The 21347-nt window shown below is 42.8% G+C and overlaps 1 pseudogene; it reads left to right on the forward strand.

Annotated features, from left to right (window-relative positions):
• On the forward strand, positions 18637 to 19092 carry RPLP2P3 (ribosomal protein lateral stalk subunit P2 pseudogene 3; annotated as a pseudogene).

Raw genomic sequence — 21347 nt, forward strand, 5'->3', positions numbered from 1 at the left:
CACTGCAACCTCTGCCTCTCAGGTTCAACCAATTCTCCTGCCTCAGCCTCCCAAGTAGCTAGGATTACAGGCACCTGCCACCATGCCCGGCTAATTTTTGTATTTTTAGTAGAGATGGGGTTTCAGCATGTTAGCCAGGCTGGTCTCGAACTCCTGACCTCAAGTGATCCACCCCTCCCCGGCCTCCCAAAATGCTTGGATTATAGGTGTAAGCCGCTGTGCCCAGTCCCTAAAAATTGAAGTGCTTTTGAAAATTTTCCAGGCAGAAGTAAAAAGAGAAGGGGTTTGGACATTTAGGATGTAATGGAACACCCTTTAAAAGTGCTGCTAGCAAAAAGTAAGTAAGTAAGCACTTGAGAAATTTGGGCATATAGTATTGAGTGCATATGAAGATGATATTTTAAGCTCACGAATGAACTAAAAGTCTTATTGAACTGCTGGCAGTTTTGAAAAGTATTGAAAAACTATAGTGGCACAAAGAATTGAAAAGGCAAATACAGCGCCATCCTGTATCAATTGCATATGCCTTGTTCCTTAATGTTTCTTACAATTATCCTTACAGGCTCTGCCACTTGTCAGCAAAAATTAAATGGCAGAGTTATAGTGATATCATTACTGAGATGCTGCCTACTTTTACAAAACACTCCTTAAGACATTTACTAATGCACTACAGTGTATTGCTATAAATAATTAAAATCAAATAAATTCAGAATAGCTAAATAATTTAAACATTTGTCAAAATAAATCAGCTAAGAATATTCTGAGGTTTAATGTATTTGATTTTCATGCTTTGATTTACTTGTTTTGTGTTAAATTAGATAAGATAAAAAAGTTAAACTTTTAATTCATCTATGCCAAATAACATCGGCTTTACTGTGCGGCAAGACACATTAGTTAGAAAACAAATACACAAACACAAAGGACTTATAAATTGATCATGAAATTTGGGTGGGTTCCCCGTGAGTCATGAGTACTTGAAGTTCAAATGGCAGTCCTGTGTACAGACAAATTTTCACACACCATATGTCCCAATTTTTAATTTAATGTATATGACTCTTGGGCTCAAGACACTATTGTATGTATTAATGGATATATAGGTATATGTGTTCTTGGTATCAAGAAATTAGCAATATCAGCCAGGCGCGGTGGCCCACACTGTATGGATCACCTGAGGTCAGGAGTTTGAGACCAGCCTGGCCAACATAGTTATACCCCATCTCTACTAAAAATACAAAATTAGCCGGGCGTGGTGGTGCATGCCTGTAATCCCACCTACTTGGGAGGCTGAGGCAGGAGAATCACTTGAACCTGGGAGGCAGAGGTTGCAGTGAGCCGAGATAATGCCACTGCACTCCAGCCTGGGCAACAGAGCGAGACTCTGTCTCAAAAAAAGAAAAGAAAAGAAATTGGCAATGTATTAAGAGAAATAAGGCATATGCATTAAAAGTTAATTGACAAAGTAAGGCACTAAATGTTAGTATGATAAATTATATAGGAATTCAAAACTAGATGAGATGGCTCTGAATTAACTCAAAGAAACCTTACTGGGAAGAAGAAGGAGAAGGAGAAGGAGAAGGAGAAGAGAAGGAGAAGGAGAAGGAGAAGCCTCTTTCCCTGAGCTTTAAATTATGATTAGGTCCTGGATAGGCTATGAATAAGGGAGAATTTGGAAGCCAGGTAAAAAGTGGAGTATAACATGAAAGAATAGGCAAAACGGCCTGGCTGAAAGAGGGGATTTCATGATAGGAAACAGGAAAAGAGAAGGAAAGAAAGGCAAATTGAAACTTCACTGTTAATAGTCTTGAGTTTTATAAGTCAAGAAGTTTCCATTTCCTTCTATGAAACAGTGGACAGTCATTAAGAGGCTTTTTGAGTAGTAGAGTTCTAAGAAGGTTGCTCATGTAGAATAAGTTAGCAAGGATTCTGAATGTACAGCGGGCCATTAGAAGGTAATTATTACAGCACCACAAGTGGTAACAGGGTCCACTTTAGTAGTGATGATAGCAGTACCAAAGACGGGACCAAAACAAAGGAAATAGCTATAGAGTTTGGTGATTGCTTGCCAAGGAAATGAAAGAGATGAAAGGTAACCTGAAGATGTTATTTTGTTTTGTTGTATTGTGATAAGAACACTTGATAGAAGATCTACCCTGTTCATTTTTTTTTTCCCTTGGAAACAGAGTTTCACTCTTGTTGCCCAGGCTGGAGTGCAATGGCGCGATCTTGGCTCACTGCAACCTCCGCCTCCCAGATTCAAGCCAGTCTCCTGCCTCAGCCTCTGGAGTGGCTGGGATTACAGGTGTGTGCCACCACGTCTGGCTGATTTTTGTATTATTAGTAGACACAGGGTTTCACCATGTTGGCAGGCTGGTCTCTAACTCCTGACCTCAGGTGATCCACTCTCCTCAGCCTTCCAAAGTGCTGGGATCACAGGCATGAACCAATGTGCCCAGCCCCTGTTAATATTTTTTTAAGTGTATAAGACATTATTGTTGATTATAGGCACAATGTTGTGCAGCAGAACTCTAGAATTTATTCATCTTGCTTATCTGAAACGTTATGCCCATTAATTAGTAAATCCCCATTTTCTCTTCCCACACCCCCCACCCCCACCCCTGGCAACCACCATTCCACTCTTTGGTTCTATGAAATGGACTATTTTAGATACCTCATGTAAGTAGAATTATGAAGTATTTGTCTTTCTGTGACTAGCTTATTTCACTTAGCATAACATCTTCAAGTTTCATCCATGTTATTGCATATTGCTGAATTTCCTTCTTTTTTAAAAAAAATTAAGGACTTGAATAGACATTTCTCCTAAAAAGACATACAAATGGCCAGTATCTGAACTATGCACATCAAAACCACAGTGATATACCACCTCACAACTGTCAGGAAGGCTATTATCAAATAAAAGATGGCAAGTACTGGCAAGATGTAGAGAAATTGGAACGTTTGGACACTGTTGGTAGAAATGCAAAATGGTGCAGCCATTGTAAAAAGCAGTATGAAGGTTTCTCAAAAAATTAAAAATAAAACTAACATATGATCAAGCAATCCCTCTTCTGGGATATAAAAGAATTGAATTCTGGGCCAGGTGCGGTGGCTCACACCTGTAATCCCAGTACTTTGAGACGCCAAGACGGGTGGATCACCAGGTCAGGAGATCGAGACCATCCTAGCTAACATGGAGAAACCCCATCTCTACTAAAAAGTACAAAAACTTAGCCGGGTGTGGTGGCAGGTGCCTGTAGTCCCAGCTACTTCAGAGGCTGAGGCAGGAGAATGGCATGAACCCAGGAGGCGGAGCTTGCAGTGAGCCGAGATCGTGCCACTGCACTCCAGCCTGGGCGACAGAGCAAGACTCTATCTTAAGAAAAAAAAAAAAAAGAATTCAATTCTGGATCTCAAAAGATACTAGCAGTCCTATATTCATTGCAGCACTGTTCACAATAGCCAAGATGCGGAAACAGCCTGAATGTCAATCAAAAGATGAATGAATAAAGAAAATGTGTTATATAAAACCTGAAAATTTTGAGAGTGACTGAGAGACTGATGGTACCATTGACAGAGAAAGATAAATCAGGAGTCAGTTTGTAAAGAAGAAAGCGAGTTTGATTTTCAAGCATGTTGTAGTTCAAGGAGCAGCTGAGCTTTCAGGGAGTCAAGTCTGGGCCTGTTACATGGAAAAGACAATAGCAGAGAGAAAGATTTGAGGTTTTTTTTTGGCCTAGAAGCGGTGGCTGAAAAGATTAAACTGAACTAAATTCCCTAAGGATGAGAATGTAAATAGAGAAGAACAGAACCAAACCTAGAAAATACCCTATTTACAGGATGCAAGAGGAAGAGAGGCTATTGTGGAGGCCAAAACACTTAATGGATCTCAGTGCAGGAAATGGAAATATGAAACATGAGTGATGATAATGATTATTATTTTAGAAGTTTGTCCCTCAATATTATTCAAGTAAATATAAGATGTTGAAGTTTTACTTAAGAATAATGAAAAGGGGCTGGGTGCTGTGGCTCACACCTGTAATCCCAGCACTTTGGGATTCTGAAGTGGGTGGATCGCCGAGGTCTGGAGTTTGAGATCAGTCTGACCAACATGGTGAAACCCCATCTCTACTAAAAATAAAGAATTAGCTGGGCCTGGTGGTGCATGCCTGTAATCTCAGCTACTCGAGAGGCTGGGGCAGGAGAATCGCTTGAACCTGGGAGGCAGAGGTTGCAGTGAGCTGAAATCACGCCATTGCACTCCAGCCTGGGAAACAAGAGCGGAAACTCTGTCTCAAAAAAAAAAAAAAGACAAGGAAAGAAAAGAAAAGAAAAAAAGAATAATGAAAAGGTAAGAGGGATACCAAAACTGTTTTTCAGAAATTCTGAAACTAGAAATTATAACAGGCTGGGCATAGTGGCTCACACCCGCAATCCTAGCACTCTGGGAGGCTAAGGCCAGAGGATCACTTGAGCTCAGGAGTTCAAGACCAGCCTGGGCAACATAGTGAGACCCCCCCCCCCCGCATCTCTAAAATAAATAAATAAATAAAAGTAAAAAAAAAGAAATTATAACATATTAAGAGACAGAGATGGCAAGGCACTGTGACTCACACCTGTAATCAGCACTTTTGGAGGCCAAGGCAGGAGGATCGCTTGAACCCAGGAGTTCAAGACCAGCCTACAATTTTACACACATGCACACACACAAATTAGCCAAGCGCAGTGTTGTGCACCTGTACTCCCAGCTGGTTGGGAGGCTGAGGTGGGAAGATCACTTAGGGCCCGGGAGGTCAAGCTTGCACCAATGCACTCCAGCTTGGGTGACAGAGCAAGACCCTGTCTGAAAAAAAAAAGAGAGACAGATAAATGTTGTGGTGTTTCAAATTAAGTGTGTATCGCTCATTTAAGTAAGATGAAGGCTAATAAAGTATATGAATACAAATATTTGAGTTAATAAAGACTACAAAATTTCTAGGAAGGAGAAGATGAAATTGTCCATAATAATCACACACACACACACAGACACACACACACACACCCACACACACAGGGAAACTAAATCACCTGTGCTAGCTAGCTACCCGAGTCACTTAACTAGTTGCATTCTTAAAAATAAATTGACAAGTTGATTGAACTAACATATTTGATTGACTGTTTAGAATCGTGATCAAGATGATCATGCAGCCAAAGCCAAACATATTCAAACATATGGTTAAATCCTGATTACTCACTAATATATTGTAGACAATCCTGTAAACAACTCAATTGTTAGGTCCCTGAATTCTAACTGGATTGATCCCATTTCTACATTATGTAAAGCAATAAAGTAATGTTTAGAAATAATTGCCTTGTATAAGCATGAGACTATTGTTGGTAAATTTTTATGGAACCACAGAATTGTAAGAAGACTCTAAAGAGGTTAATATTGGCTGGGCACAATGGCTCATGCATGTAATCTCAGCACTTTGGGAGGCCAAGGCGGGCAGATCACCTGAGGTCAGGAGTTCGAGACCAGCCTGGCCAACATGGTGAAACCTCATCTGTACTAAAAAAAAAAAAAAAAAAAAAAAAACTAGCCAGACTTGGTGGCACATGCCTGTAATCCCAGCTGAGACAGGAGAATTGCTTGAACTGGAAAGCAGAGGTTGCAGTGAGCCAAGATCATGCCACTGCACTCCAGCCTGGATGATGGGAGTGAGACTCTGTCTCAAAAAAAAGAAAAAGGAAAAGAAAAAAAAGAGGTTAATATTCAAACCAAAAGGCTGTATGGTAAAATAGCATGAATTTAGGAGTCAAGCAAACTTAGACTCAGATAGAACATTGAGAGGGTTACATAAGTGCACATATGTATTACATATGCACATCATAATAAGCGCTTAATGTTGTTAAATAATTAGTTAACAAAGTTCTGACCTCAGATGTGCATGGACAGCAGAGGAAGCCATACATACAAATCGCCAATTAAAATAAAGTTAAATAATGCAATAATAAAAATACTTATTATTATTACTATATTAAGTGCTTACCATGTATCAAATATTATCTCCATTTATAGAACAGGAAACTGGGGCTTAAAGAGGTCATATAACGGTGGACGGTGAGCAGGAAAAAAAAAAATTTAAGAAAAAAATTTATGGCTGGGCTTGGCGGCTCACGCCTGTGATCCCAGCACTTTGGGAGGCCGAGGTGGGTGGATCACTAAGTCAGGAGTTCAAGACCAGCCTGGCCAAGATGGTGAAACCAGGTCTCTACTAAAAATACAAAAATTGCCGAGCGCGGTGACTCAAGCCTGTAATCCCAGCACTTTGGGAGGCCAAGGTGAGTGGATCATGAGGTCAGGAGATGGAGACCATCCTGGCTAACACGGTGAAACCCCGTCTCTACTAAAAATACAAAAATTAGCCGGGCGTGGTGGTGGGCGCCTATAGTCCCAGTTACTCTGGAGGCTGAGGCAGGAGAATGGCAGGTGAACCCAGGAGGCGGAGGAGCTTGCAGTGAGCCGAGATCATGCCACTGGCCTCCAGCCTGGGCAACAGAGCCAGCCTCTGTCTCAAAAAAAAAAAAAAACAAAAAAACAAAAATTAGCTAGACATGGTGGCAGGTGCCTGTAATCCCAGCTACTCGGGAGGCTGAGGCAGAGAATTGCTTGAACCCGGGAGGCGGAGGTTGCAGTGAGCCAAGATTGCACCACTGCATTCCAGCCTGAGCAACAGAGTGAGACTGTCTCAAAAAAAAAAGGAAAAAAAAAGAAAAAAATTTACCTAGTTAATAAGTGATAGATTGAAACCCACATTTGCTAACTCCAGAGTCTGGGCTCTTAAATGCAGACATGTATGGTCTCCAGATAGAGTTGAATAGAAGGTGCTTTGGAAGTAGAAAAGAAGAATCTCTTGGCCAGGTGCAGTGGCTCACGCCTGTAATCCCAGACTTTGGAAGCCTGAGGTGGATGGATCATTTGAGGCCAGGATTTCAAGACCAGCCTGGCCAATATGGTGAAATCCCATCTCTACTAAAAATACAAAAATTAGCCAAGCGTGATGGCACATACCTGTAATCCCAGCTACTGGACAGGCTGAGGCATGAGAATTGCTTGAACCCAGAAGGCAGAGTTTGCAATGAGCTGAGATCGTGACACCTCACTCCAGCCTGGGCGACAGAGTGAGACTCTGTCTCAAAAAAAGAAGAAAGAGAAGGAGATGGAGAAGAAGCTCTTGAGGCTGAGTGGCAAGAGACAGTATAGAGTGAGTGAAAGGGGATCAAGAATGACTTTATTGACAAGATGGCAAAAGCAGCTCCTTAAAAAGTAGGAATTTGGGGCTGGGCGCGGTGGCTCACACCTGTAATCCCAGCACTTTGGGAGGCCAAGGCAAGTGGATCACCTGAGGTCAGGAGTTCAAGACCAGCCTGACCAATGTGGTGAAACCCCGTCTCTACTAAAAATACAACAATTAGCCGGGTGTGGTGGCAGGTGCCTGTAATCCCAGCTACTCAGGAGGCTGAGACAGAAGAATTGCTTGAATGCAGAAGGTGGAGCTTGCAGTGAGCCAAGATCGTGCCACTGTACTCCAGCCTGGGCAACAGAGTGAGACTCTGTCTCAAAATAAAATAAAATAAAATAAAATAGAATAAAAGAAAATAAAGGTAGGAATTTGGTAGACAGCCAAGGAGATAGAAAGGACATTACAGGCAAAAAGGAGAGGAACTTCAAACACATGGGATATGGCTGGCTCACAGAGGGCACATGGAGATGCAGTGAAAGAAGAGGTCATAGAGGTCGCAGGCACATGCCATAAAGCACTTGATGCCTCCTGAGGAGCTGCAGCACCTGGAAGCATGGGAATGCCACCATCATTCTGTCACTAATGTGTGTTATACAAAGGAGGGGGCAGAAACACTAGTTAGGAGGCAATTGTAATAGTCCAGGCAAAAGATGATGAGAGCCTGAGTTAAGAATGAAGTGAAGGGGACACGGTTGAACATATGTAGGAAATAGAATCAACACGGTTTAGTGCTGACTGGATGCCATGGGTAGAGAGGATGGAGGCATCTAGGCTAAGTCCCTGGCTTCTGACTAAGGCAACTGCATGAAGGATGAATTATTCCTTTTAAAGACTGTAGGGACCAGGTGCAGTGGCTCACACCTGTAATCCCAGCACTTTGGGAGGCCGAGGTGGACGGATTACTTGAGGTCAGGAGTTAGAAACAAGCCTGGCCAACATGGTGAAACCCCATCTCTACTAAAAATACAAAAATTAGCTGGGTGTGGTGGCGTGCACCTGTAATCCCAACTACTTGGGAGGCTGAGGTAAGAGAATGGCTTGAACCCAGGAGACAGAGGTTGCAGCGAGCCAAGTTCGCGCCACTGCACTCCAGTCTGGGTGACAAGCGAGACTGCATCTCAAAAAAAAAAAAAAAAAAAAAAAAAAAGACTGTAGGGAGAGGAGCAGATCTAAAATGGAAAATAACAAATTATACATTGAACTTTTTGTGTTTGGGTACCTCTAAGACATCTGGATGGAGATATCTAGCAAATGTCTGCCACTCAGAAGTGATTTATTAATATTTACTAATATAAAATTAATTTAACCCGTCCAAATGTACAATATTATTTTACTAATTCACAAAACATTGTTTTATATAGGCAAAAACAGAGGTATAGATTTAACAGCTTGCACCAGTGGACATAATCATGCAACTAATCCACAACAGATCCTGGTGGTGAATGCTAGGCTGACTCCAAATCTCAGACTCCATTAGACTGTACTGCCTCCATGTGTATACTTCTGCAATAGCAGAAGGAAAATTAAGTCACCTACTTCACTGTTTTAGGCAACTCTGTAGGAATTCAAACATTTGGAGGCCAAAAGCAACCCAATGGAACAGATTCTTAGGTTTATGAAACTGAGAAACTTTTTGGGAGCTCTACCATAGTCTGGTATTTCCCAGAACAAAACCTCAACTAACAATAATAATCTCTGTAGGACAGAAAAAATAGTTTTTTAGGCTGAGAATGGTGGTTCATGCCTTTAATCCCAGTATTTTGCGGGGCCGAGGCAGGAGGATGACTTGAGCCCAGGAGTTCAAAGTTGCAGTGAGCTGTGAATGCGCCACTGCCCTCCAGCCTGAGTGATGGAGCGAGACTTTGACTCTTAAAAGAAAAAATAGTTATTCAATAATCTGAAAGAACTTTATTCTTAGCTTTATTAAGTTATCAAGAAGTAATGGACCAGTCGGGAACAAGGGCTAGAAGTAAAATGTAATTACTTGCTATACCATCTTCCCATAGTCTTTAGTGAAAAGCACTAAAGGCCTGAATTTCTCTAGTATTAATAAAAATGAAAGCACTTTTAAGCATTATAGTCAGCATACTCCTAAGATTAGGGGAAAACACCAAGACAATTATGATCTTTCTAAACTTTGGGGGAGTAGACTCACATAAGTTCTGCAAAATATAATTAGCACTTACCCATTCAGACAAAGAAAGAAATGCACCTCCTTTATTTATTTATTTTTCCTTTATTTTTTATTTATTTATTTTTTTCTGAGATGGAATCTCGCTCCGTCACCCAGGCGGGAGTGCAGTGACATGATCTCGGCTCAGTGTAACCTCCACCTCCCCGGCTCAAGCGATTCTCTTGCCTCAGCTTCCCCAGTAGCTGGGATTACAGGCACCCACCACTATGCCCAGCTAATTTTTTTGTATTTTAATAGAGACAGGGTTTTCACCATGTTGGCCAGGCTGGCTTCGAACTCCTGACCTCAAGTGTTCTGCCAGCCTTGACCTCCCAAACTGCTAGGATTACATGTGTGGGCCACTGTGCCCAACTTTTTTTTTTTTTCAGACGGAGTCTTGCTCTGTTGCCCAGGCTGGAGTGGAGTGGCCCGATCTCGGCTCACTATAACCTCTGTCTCCCAGGTTCAAGTGATTCTCAAGCCTCAGGCTTCCGAGTAGCTGGGATTACAGGCATGCACCATCACACCCAGCTAATTTTGTAGTATTAACAGAGACAGGGTTTTGACATGTTGGCCAGGCTGGTCTCAAACTCCTGACCTCAAGTGATCCATTTACCTTGGCCTCCCAAAGTGTTGGGATTACAGGCATGAGCCACCATGCCCAGCCACCTCCTTTCTTTAAAAACAGACACCACAGAACTCCAAAAGGGGAGAATAATTATGAGAAGGGAAAAGACAGAAATAGAATGCACTGATCTAGGGCTTTAAAAATCAGATACTTTACCTTTTTACACTTGAAAAGGAGAAAGAGGTTGCACAAATTGTAAGTGAGGTAACTGGGATTTGAACCCAAGTACTAAAACCTACCTCTGTCTTCAAATCTCATATTCTTTTTTTCTTATTTTTGTGGGTATATAATAGGTGCATATATTTAATTTCATACCGTTAATCACCCTGTTTTCTGCTTTTCAATTAAGAAGATTAGGCATATTCTTCCAAAACCACAAGTCAAATGTCTGTATGCCTTCCACCAGTCATCATTTGGAGAAGGTGTTTTTCTCAAAAGCAAAATCCTAAGTGAGGGGAAATCTAAGGTACAGGCCACTTACCTTTTCATTCATTCATTCAATCATTAAGTTCTGAGTGCTTACTCTGTGTCAGACACTGTCCCCGTACTACATATATATAGCATGGAAGATGGGGTGGGGAAATGAGCAAATAAATAATACATAGGAAGACTACTGGATAGTTATAAGCGCTAGTGGTAGAAAGGGAGGAGTGGGAAAGCAGAAATTGATAATAATAACCCTGAACTTGAAAACAGAAGCACTAAGTACTAGCTTGGTTTTGCCACACACTAGAGTTTGGTGCTTGGGCAATTCACCTCACTCCCTTAGATCTTAGTTCATCACACATCAAATAAGTCATTTTGAAACATATTGTACTGAGCAGATGTGTTTATATTTGTTCCTTTCCAAAATCCCAGTGAGTAATAGTAAACAAATTAACAACAACAACAACAAAAGAGACTTAAACCCACAAAGACAACAGAAGAAAAGACAACAGTAGACAAGGATGTCAACCACATTTTGGAAGAGACAAGTAATCAAACACATGGCAACTGACAGTGGAAATGAGGAAGCTGAAGCCTCCTGTGGAAAGTCGGAAGCCAAAACAACCCACCAGAGAGAACAAAATGAACTCAGAGCAAACATAGACTAAGCAGGGACTAAAGGAAAACTTCGAAGATAATAATTAATATCATGAAACAAGAAGAGCACAGTGTACAAAGAAAATAATCAGAGAGCAACAACAAAAACAACAAAAAACTGGCTGGGTGTGGTGTTTTACATCTGTAATCCCAGCACTTTGTGAGACCAAAGTGGGAAGATTGCTTGAGCCCAGGAGTTAAAGACCAGCCAGGGCAACATAGAAAGACCCATCTCTAAAACAATAATAATAATAGATCAGCCAGGCATGTTGGCACACACCTGCAGTCCCAGCTACGCTGGGAGGCTGAGGTGGGTGGATCATTTAAGCCCAAAAGCTTGAAGCTGCAGAGAGCTGTGATGGTACCACTGAACTCCTGCCTGGGTGACAGACCCAGACCCTATTAAAAACAAAACAAAACAAAACAAAAAACCACAAACTCTTGGAAATTAAATGATGACAGCAAAAATTAAAAATTCAACTGAAAGATTGGAAGATAAAGTTGAGAAGCTCTATCAAAAAGTAAAACAAGAACACGAAGAGACAGAAAATGGGAGATACAACATAATCATCTACCAAAGTTGCTCTTTTCTTTTTGGAAGGTCTGTGGAGGAGAAAGAGCATTCATCACAGGTTTCCCAGAGAGAAGAGATAAGTCAGTGTACTGCTGACAACATGAGCCAGGGTTAAGGTACCCCTTGGAATTACTGATTTCTAAGATTAATAAAGTAGTTCTGTTTAAAAAAAGAAAATAGGAGATAATAAGAAAATTAGAATATATATATATCCAAAAAATATTACATTCAACTTTTAGGCATTTAGAGACAATAATAAGAAATGGGGCCAGGTGTGGTGGCTCATGCCTGTAATCCCAGCACTTAGGGAGGCCGAGGCCGGTGGATCACCTGAGGTCAGGAGTTTGAGACCAGCCTGACTAACATGGTGAAACCCCGTCTCTACTAAAAATACAAAAATTGGCCGGGCGTAGTAGCGGGCACCTGTAATCCCAGCTACTCAGGAGGCTGAGGCAGAATTGCTTGAACCTAGGAGGCGGAGGTTGCAGTAAGCTAAGATCGCGCCATTGCACTCCAGCCTAGGCGACAGAGCCAGACTCCGTCTCAAAAAAAAAAAAAAAAGAAAAAGGATAAGAAATGGGTCCAGTCACGGTGGCTCACACATGTAATCCCAGCACTTTGGGAGGCTGAGGCAAGAGGATCACTTGAGCCCAGGAGTTCAAGACCAGTCTGGGCAACATGTAGAAACCCCATCTCTACAAAAAAAAAAAAAAAAATTACCCAGGTGTGGTGGTGCACACCTGTGATTCCAGCTACTCAGGAGGCTGAGTTGGAAGGATTGCTTGAGCCCAGGAGATTGAGGCTGCAGTAAGCTATAATCACACCACTGCACTCCAGCCTGGGCAACAGAGTGAGACCCTGTCACAAGAAGAAGAACAAAAAAATAAATAAATAAAAGGAAATTCTCAAAGAAACAACAATACAAAACTTCCCAGAATTTAAAAGTGAGAGTCTCCGTGATAAAAGAGCCCACAATTAAAAAGAAAGGCACACATTGTAAAATTTTGTGAAAATTTTTAAAAGGATCCTAAAAGCTTCCAGAGAGGAAAAAAAGCAAGTAGATCACAAACATGTAAGAATGAGAATGGCAATGAAATTTTCAATCACAACATGGGAATCTAGGAGACAATACAAGGATGTCTTCAAAATTCAGATGAAAACTTATTTTTCAATCATAACACTATAGCCAGGAAAAGTGTTAATATAAGAGTAAAATAAAGACTTTTTTGAGCACAGAAGTTCTCAGAAAATGACTTGCTATGTATCCTTTTGGTGGGAAACTATTGGAGAATGTGGTACACCAAACTGAAAGTTTATTTTTTATTTTTTATATTTTTTTGAGACGGAGTCTCGCTCTGTCGCCCAGGCTGGAGTGCAGTGGCACGATCTCGGCTCACTGCAAGCTCCACCTCCCGGGTTCACACCATTATCCTGCCTCAGCCACCCGAGTAGCTGGGACTACAGGCACCCGCCACCACGCCCGGCTAATTTTTTTGTATTTTTAGTAGAGACGGGGTTTCACCATGTTAGCCAGGATGGTCTCGATCTCCTGACCTCGTGATTTGCCCACCTCGGTCTCCCAAAGTGCTGGGATTACAGGTGTGAGCCACCGCGCCCAGCCTCAAACGGAAAGTTTATTAAGAAAGTAGGAGATATTTTCTTTTTTTCTTTTTTTTCTTTCTTTCTTTTTTTTTTTTTTTGAGATGGAGTCTCTCTCTGTCGCCCAGGCTGGAGTGCAATGGCATGATCTCAGCTCACTGCAGCCTCCGCCTCCCAGGTTCAAGTGATTCTCCTGCCTCAGCCTCTCAAGTAGCTGGGACTACGGGCACATGCCACCATACTCAGCTAATTTTTTTTTTTTAATGTATTTTTAGTACAGATGGGGTTTCACTGTGTTAGCCAGGATTGTCTCAATCTCCTGACCTCGTCATCCACCCGCCTCAGGCTCCTAAAGTGCTGGGATTACAGGCGTGAGCCACCGCTAGGCCAAGAAGGAGATATTTTCTTTTTTTTCTTTTCTTTTTTTTTTTCAAGATGGAGTCTCGCATTGTTGCCTGGGCTGGAGTGCAGTGGCAGGATCTTGGCTCACTGCAACCTCCACTTCCGAGGTTCAAGCGATTCTCCTGCCTCATCCTCCCAAGTAGATAGGACTACAGGCTCTCTCTACCACACCCAGCTCTTTTTTTTTTTTTTTTTTTTTTTGAGACGGAGTTTCGCTCTGTCACCAGGCTGCTGGAGTGCAGTGGCGCAATCTCGATTCACTGCAACCTCCGCCTCCCAGGTTCAAGCGTTTCTGCTGCCTCAGGCTCCTGAGTAGCTGGGACTACAGGTGCACGCCACCATACCCAGCTAATTTTTGTATTTTTAGTAGAGATGGGGTTTCACTATGTTGGCCAGGATGGTCTCCATCTCTTAACCTCGTAATTTGGTAGCCTTGGCCTCCCAAAGTGTTTTGTATTTTTAGTAGAGATGGGGTTCACCTTATTGGTCAGGCTGGTCTCAAACTCATGACTTTAGGCAATCCACCCGCCTCGGCCTCCCAAAGTGCTGGGATTACAGGCGTGAGCCACCATGCCTGGCAGAAGGAGATATTTTCTATTCTGTATTTTTTTTTTTTTTTTTTAGGACAGAGTCTTGCTCTGTTGCCCAGGCTGGAGTGCAGTGGCACAATATCGGCTCACGGCAAGCTCCGCCTCCTGGGTTCATGCCATTCTCCTGCCTCAGCCTCCCAAGTAGCTGGGCACAGGCACCTGCCACCATGCCCGGCTAATTTTTTGTATGTTTTAGTAGAGATGGGGTTTCACTGTGTTAGCTAGGATGGTCTCGATCTCCTGACCTCGTGATCCACCCGCTTCGGCCTCCCAAAGTGCTGGGATTACAGGCGTGAGCCACTGTGCCTGGCCTATTCTGTATTCTGGCTGGTTGTTTGCGTCTCCTTCTGCAGTCATCCACAGGAATGCAGTGGTACAGCTCCAGGAAGTGCTTTCAGAATTTTAGGCAGTCCCATGCTGGCTCTTTCACATGCATGACTTTCTTCTGTCCATAGAAAAACACTCACTCATCCTTTGCCCAAAGAACAAAAAATCCAGGTTAGTTCCAACACAGGCAACCTCTTCTTGGCTCCTCCATTAGGAGGGATAACCAGCAAGGTGCTCACCTTTTAGATTTCCTAAGTGGAGCTAAACACACCCCACAACTGCAGGGGGTACACATTGAGCTTAGTGAGTGGTCCCGTTGAGGCTCTTTCCCTGGACTTGAGACGGGGAGCATCTACCCTTGCGGAAGAGAGAAAGAACATGCAGAACACTACCAGCTCGCTGCAAAACTTCCTCTTCATCACCAGCAAACCATGCCTTTTTGTTTGTTTGTTTGTTTGAGATGGAGTTTCGCTCTTTTGCGCAGGCTGGAGTGAAGTGGGAGATCTCTGCTCACTGCAACCTCTACCTCCCGGGCTCAAGCAATTCTCCTGCCTCAACCTCCCCAGTATCTGGGATTATAGGTGCCCCCCACCATGACCAGCTAACTTTTTTTATATTTTTAGTAAAGACGGGGTTTTGCCATATTGGCCAGGCTGGTCTTGAACTCCTGACCTCAGGTGATCCACCCACCTCAGCCTCCCAAAGTGCTGGGATTACAGGTGTGAGCCACCACGTCTGGCCTCATGCCCTTTATATTGCAACCCATGACTTTTTATATTTTTTATATAAGTGATTATTTATTTATTTTGAGACAGGGTCTCACTCTGTCACTTAGGCTGGAGTGCAGTGGTGCAATTTTAGCTCACTGTAACCTCCACCTCCCAGGCTCAAGCGATCCTCCCACCTCAGCCTCCTGAGTAGCTGGGATTACAGGCACTCACCACCACACTTGACTAATTTTTGTATTTTTAGTAGAGACCGGTTTTCACCATGTTGCCCAGGCTGGTCTCGAACTCCTGAGCTTAAGCAATCCACCTGCCTCAGCCTTTTGAAGTGCTGGGGTTACAGACCTGAGCCACGGCACCCAATCTAGGTGATTTTTTATATTCTGTATATAGTTATGGGTTTATGAGTTCAATGGCCAGTTTGAGATGTCTCCTTTGAAATCTCTGTATCTTGGTCTGAACGCTTACTTTGGAATATGTTCTCCATTGTGCAGGGGATTCAGTTGAGATTTCCATCATATTTTGTTACTCTTTAATAAAAATTAAAATTAAAATGACAGGCTATCACTAAACTGCATCATCTGTAAGTTCTCCTACAGCTCTAAAAATTGTATTGTGTGGGTAGGGAGAGGTACAGTTGAAGAGAAGAGCAAAATGCTAACAATGGTGACACTGAGAAGAGAATTTATGTAACTGTGTGGCGTGATGTGGTCAGGTAAGGGTATAGTGTCTGGCCATGATGCATTCCCCATTACTGTCCCCAAAAGCTTTAGAGGACAAGAGGAGCTAGCTGCAAGGGTGACCACACAAGACTTCAAAGAACTAGTGGCCAGATACCATCATTTGAAGAGACCTGAAGAAAGAAAGTGGTTCAGAAAAACAAAAAACCTTTTTTCTTATCAATTTTGAGATCTTTAGGATGTTAGGGAAATACAGTTCAATAGATTAAACTCTCAGGAGGACTATAATAGTGACTTTTTAATAATATACCAGGTCTGTATGTTTTTTAATAAAAATAGATGGCATTCTTTTTCAGTAACTCCATGGATGCATTATTGAAGAATGAAGGCTACATTCAGGCTGCCTATTACTAATGAAATGTTGCTTGATAGAAAATATAGTAAGAGCTAAGCCATTTCTTAAGGAATAATCAGAGTCCAAGCATTTAGCTCTGATAAGGTGAATAGATCCCAAACACTCTTTGGTAGACTTCCAATCAGAAATAACTGGTGTCTGAGAAGGTTTAGAATTGGAAGAGAGCCAATTCTTTCTCTATCCTCTCCCTCAATAATATTGATTTTTTAGTATCTTTGTACAGTTAAAATTTCTGAGTGTTTTAGGTTTGGGACCAGAGGAAAATTTCAAAACTTTCACAGTTCCGAAATTCAAACAAAAAGGCTTTCTTTAATGATCTTGAAATTCACTGTGATGATTTATACTCTAACCTTTAAGTCATTTAATTTTCAGTGGTGGGAAACATTAGGTAACGAAAAATTACAGTGATCAATCATCAAGTTAGTCGCCCTCAGCAAAATTGTCCATTTGATAGGAAAAATTGCATGTCATTTATTTAATTTGCCTCTATTTGATGACTAGTGAGGCTGGACTTTTTTAAGTGCTTAACGGCCGTTTATATATTTTTATTTGTGAATAACCTTTTGATAGGTAGAGAGCGTCTTTTGATAAATTAGGTAGCAATTTTCAGTAAGGTAAACACACTGTGTTCTGTCCCCACTATTTTTTAATTTGCACCTTAATGACATGATACTCCTTATAATTGAATAGATTACAGACCCCTAGACATAACACAAAACAAAAACAAACCAACAAAAAACAACCGTCATCTCAAATGTGAATCACTATTAATGTTTCTGCCATCACTGATCTGCTCTCTATTTTCAGACAAGATATGAATCTAAAAAGTCAATTGGGCAGGGTGTGGTGGCTCACACCTCTAATCCCAGCACTTTGGGAGGCCGAGGCAGGTGGATCACTTGAGGTCAGGAGTTCAAGACCAGCCTGACGAACATGGTGAAACCCCGTCTTTACTAAAAATACTAAAATAAGCCAGGCGTGATGGCACATGCCTGTAACCCCAGCTACTCGGGAGGCTGAGGCAGGAGAATCGGTTGAACCTGGGAGGCGGAGGCTGCAGCAAGCTGAGATCATGCCACTGCACTCCAGCCTGGGCAACAGAGTGAGAGACTCTGTGTCAAACAAACAAACAAACAAACAGACAAACAAAAAGTTAATTGTTCTAAAAATAAATTCTTACCTTTGAAGGACAGACACCAACCAAAGTTTAACTTGCTTATCTATTATGAAAGTTAATTCACTGTGTTACCTACATGTATTTTCCTTTTTCTTTCTTTCTTTTCTTTTCTTTTTTTTTTTTTTTGAGATGGAATCTCCCTCAATCGCCCAGGCTGGAGTGCAGTGGCACGATCTCAGCTCATTGCAATCTCTGCCTCCCAGGTTCAAGCAATTCTCTTGCCTCAGCCTCCCTAGTAGCTGGGATTACAGGCATGTGCCATCATGCCCGGCTAATTTTTGTATTTTAAGCAGAGATGGGGTTTTACCATGTTGACCAGAATGGTCTCGAATTCCTGACCTCAGGTGATCTGCCTGCCTCAGCCTCCCAAAGTGTTGGGATTACAGGCGTGAGCCACCTCACCCAGCCCTACATGTATTTTCATGTTGAGTGGATAGACACAGGCATTTGGTTTTACCTGATTTAAAATTTTCTCAGGTTAAGTTACTGAAGCCATCCTCCACTATATAAAACTTTGAGGTCTATGTCCTCTGTGTGCTGTAGTGAATCCCAAAGTACCTCCTGAGGAGGGGGTAGGCCCTGCCCAAGGGTGCTCCCTTTGCCTGCCTTTATGCCCTTCTATGCCAACTTTCAAATGAGGTTGTCAATCCTCTCTCCAGCCCAGCTTACTGTTAAAATTTAGGACCCTGCCAGTCGCAGTGGCTCCCGCCTGTAATCCCAACACTTTGGGAAGCCAAGGAGGGTGGATCACTTGAGGTTGGGAGTTTGAGACCAGCCTGGCCAACATGGAGAAACCCCATCTCTACTAAAAAGACAAAAATTAGCTGGGTGTGGTGGTGGGCGCCTGTAATCCCAGCTACTTGGGAGGCTGAAGCATGAGAATCGCTTGAGCCTAGGAGGTGGAGGTTGTAGTGAGCCAAGATTGTGCCACTGCACTCCAGCCTGGGTGATGAGAGTGAGACTCCTTCTCAAAAATAAATAAATAGCTTTTCCTCCCTGATGCAAACGAGGTCGCACGCATGAGGCTTCTCCGCCGCCGCCGCCGCAGACGCCGCGGCGATGCGCTACGTCGCCTCCTACCTGCTGGCTGCCCTCGGGGGTAACTCCTCCCCCAGCGCCAAGGACATCAAGAAGATCTTGGACAGCGTGGGCATCGAGGAGGATTACGACCGGCTCAACAAGGTTATCAGTGAGCTGAATGGAGAAAACAATGAAGACGTCATTGCCTAGAGTATTGGCAAGCTTGCCAGTGTACCTGCCGGTGTGGCTGTGGCCATCTCTGTTGCCCCAGGCTCTGCAGCCCCTGCTGCTGGTTCCGCCCCTGCTGCAGCAGAGGAGAAGAAAGATGAGAAGGAGGAGTCTGAGGAGTCGGACGATGACATGGGATTTGGCCTCTTTGATTAAATTCCTGCTCCCCTGCAAATAAAGCCTTTTTACACATCAAAAAAATAAAAATAAAAATAAATACATAAATACATAAAAATAAAAATTTAGGACCCTACCTTTAAAAATTAAAATTTAGGACCCTACCTTTTTGAGTGCTGGGGTTATACTCCAGGTGCCTGGCATTGAGAATAACATTGAACTCACAATCCTTGTCCAAAGTAAGACAAATAGTATTTATGGAAGTTTGACTGAGTGGTCTATACCCCTAGCATATGTCAAGATCTATCCCTAGGAAAGACCAAACCAGAAGAGAGCTAGCTAGGCCCCAGCCTCTTATCATCTCTTCTTGCTGAATTATGCTCAGACATGACGCCATTGATCTACACTGAAGGGCATTTACATGAAACTATAAAACTCACTGACCTCTCAGTTCCTTGATGTCCTCATCTTCATAGACGTTTTTCATCTACACCACCTGAGGTACTCACTTTCTAGAGTGACATCCTGGAATTGTCATCACCAGAAATGGTACTACTTCCAAAATCACAAATCTAAGATCTCAACCTCCTTGCTGTCCATCCAGCTCCTTTGCTCAAGTAGTGCAATGCCACAACTCAGTCTCAAAGAGTGCCAATCCATTGACACACTGACACTACCACTTTTTTCCTATCTTCACTTCCTTCCTTTTTTTTTTTTAGATGGAGTTTCGCTCTCATTGCCCAGGCTGGAGTGCAATGGCTCGATCTCAGCTCACTACAACCTCAACCTCCCAGGTTCAAGCAATTCTCCTGCCTCAGCCTCCCGAGTAGCTGGGATTACAGGCACCTGCCACCATGCCCGGCTAATTTTGTATTTTTAGTAGAGACTGGGTTTCTCCATGTTGGTCAGGCTGGTCTTGAACTCCCGACCTCAGGTGATCCGTCTACCGCAGCCTCCCAAAGTGCTGGGATTACAGGCATGAGCCACCGTGCCTGGCCCACCTCCTTCCTTATCCACCTTAGGTACTAATGCCTAAATTTTTTCAGCCTTTTTTTTTTTTTTTTTTTTTTTAAGATAGGGTCTCTCTGTGTCACCCAGGCTAGAGCGCAGTGGTGTGATCACAGCTCACTGCAGCCACAACCTCCTGGGCTCTAGACAATCCTCCCACCTCAGCCTCCTGAGTAGCTGGGACTATAGGCGCACACCATCACTCCCAGCTAATTTTTGTATATTTTGTAGAGATGGAGTTTTGCTATGTTGGCCAGGCTGGTCTTGAATTCCTGGACTCAAGCAATCTGCCCACCTCAGCCTCCCAAAGTGCCAGAATTAAAGGTGTGAGCCATAGTGCCTAGCCTTATTTTTTTCATCTTCTAAAAATTATTTTTTTTATTTTTAATGTTTGCGGGTACATAGTAGGACTATATGTTTATAGGGTACATCAGATATTTTGGTATAGGCATACAATGCATAATAATCACATCATGGAAAATTGAGTATCCAACCATCCCCTCAAGCATTTATCCTTTGTGTTATAAACAATCCAATTATACTCTTTTAGTTTTTTGTTTTTGTTTTTGTTTTTGTTTTTTTTTGAGACAGAGTTTCACCGTTGTTGCCCAGGCTGGAGTGCAATGGCACAATCTCTGCTCACCGCAACCTCTGCCTCCTGTGTTCAAGCGATTCTCGTGCGTCAGTCTCACAAGTAGCTGAGATTACAGGCATGCACCACCACGTCCAGCTAATTTTGTATTTTTAGTAGAGACGGGGTTTCTCCATGTTGGTCAGGCTGGTCTCGAACTCCCTACCTCAGGTGATCCACCCGCCTCGGCCTCCCAAAGTGCTGTGATTACAGGCGTGAGCCACCGCGCCGGCTCTTTTAGTTATTTTTAAATGTACAATTAAATTGTTATTGACTACAGTCCTTGTGTTGTGTTATCCAATACTGGTCTTATTCATTCTTTCTTACTATTTTTTTTCTTTTTCTTTTTGTTTTGTTTTGTTTTGTTTTGTTTTGTTTTGTTTTGGAGATGGAATCTTGCTCTGTCACCCAGGCTGGAGGTCAGTGGAATGATCTCTGCTCACTGCAACCTCTGCCTCCCGAGTTCAAGTGATTCTCCTGCCTCAGCCTCCCAAGTAGCTGGGACTATACGCATGCGCCACCACGCCCAGCTAATTTTTGTGTTTTTAGTATAGACAGGGTTTCACCATGTTGGCCAGGTTGGTCTTGAACTCCTGACCTCAAGTGATCTGTCCACCTCAGCCTCCCAAAGTCCTGGGATTACAGGTGTGAGTCACCACACCAGGCCACTAACCTTTTTTTTTGGTTTCCATT

The sequence above is a fragment of the Homo sapiens genome, chromosome 11, assembly GCF_000001405.40.
Source record: "Homo sapiens chromosome 11, GRCh38.p14 Primary Assembly".
Classification (NCBI taxonomy): Eukaryota; Metazoa; Chordata; class Mammalia; order Primates; family Hominidae; genus Homo; species Homo sapiens.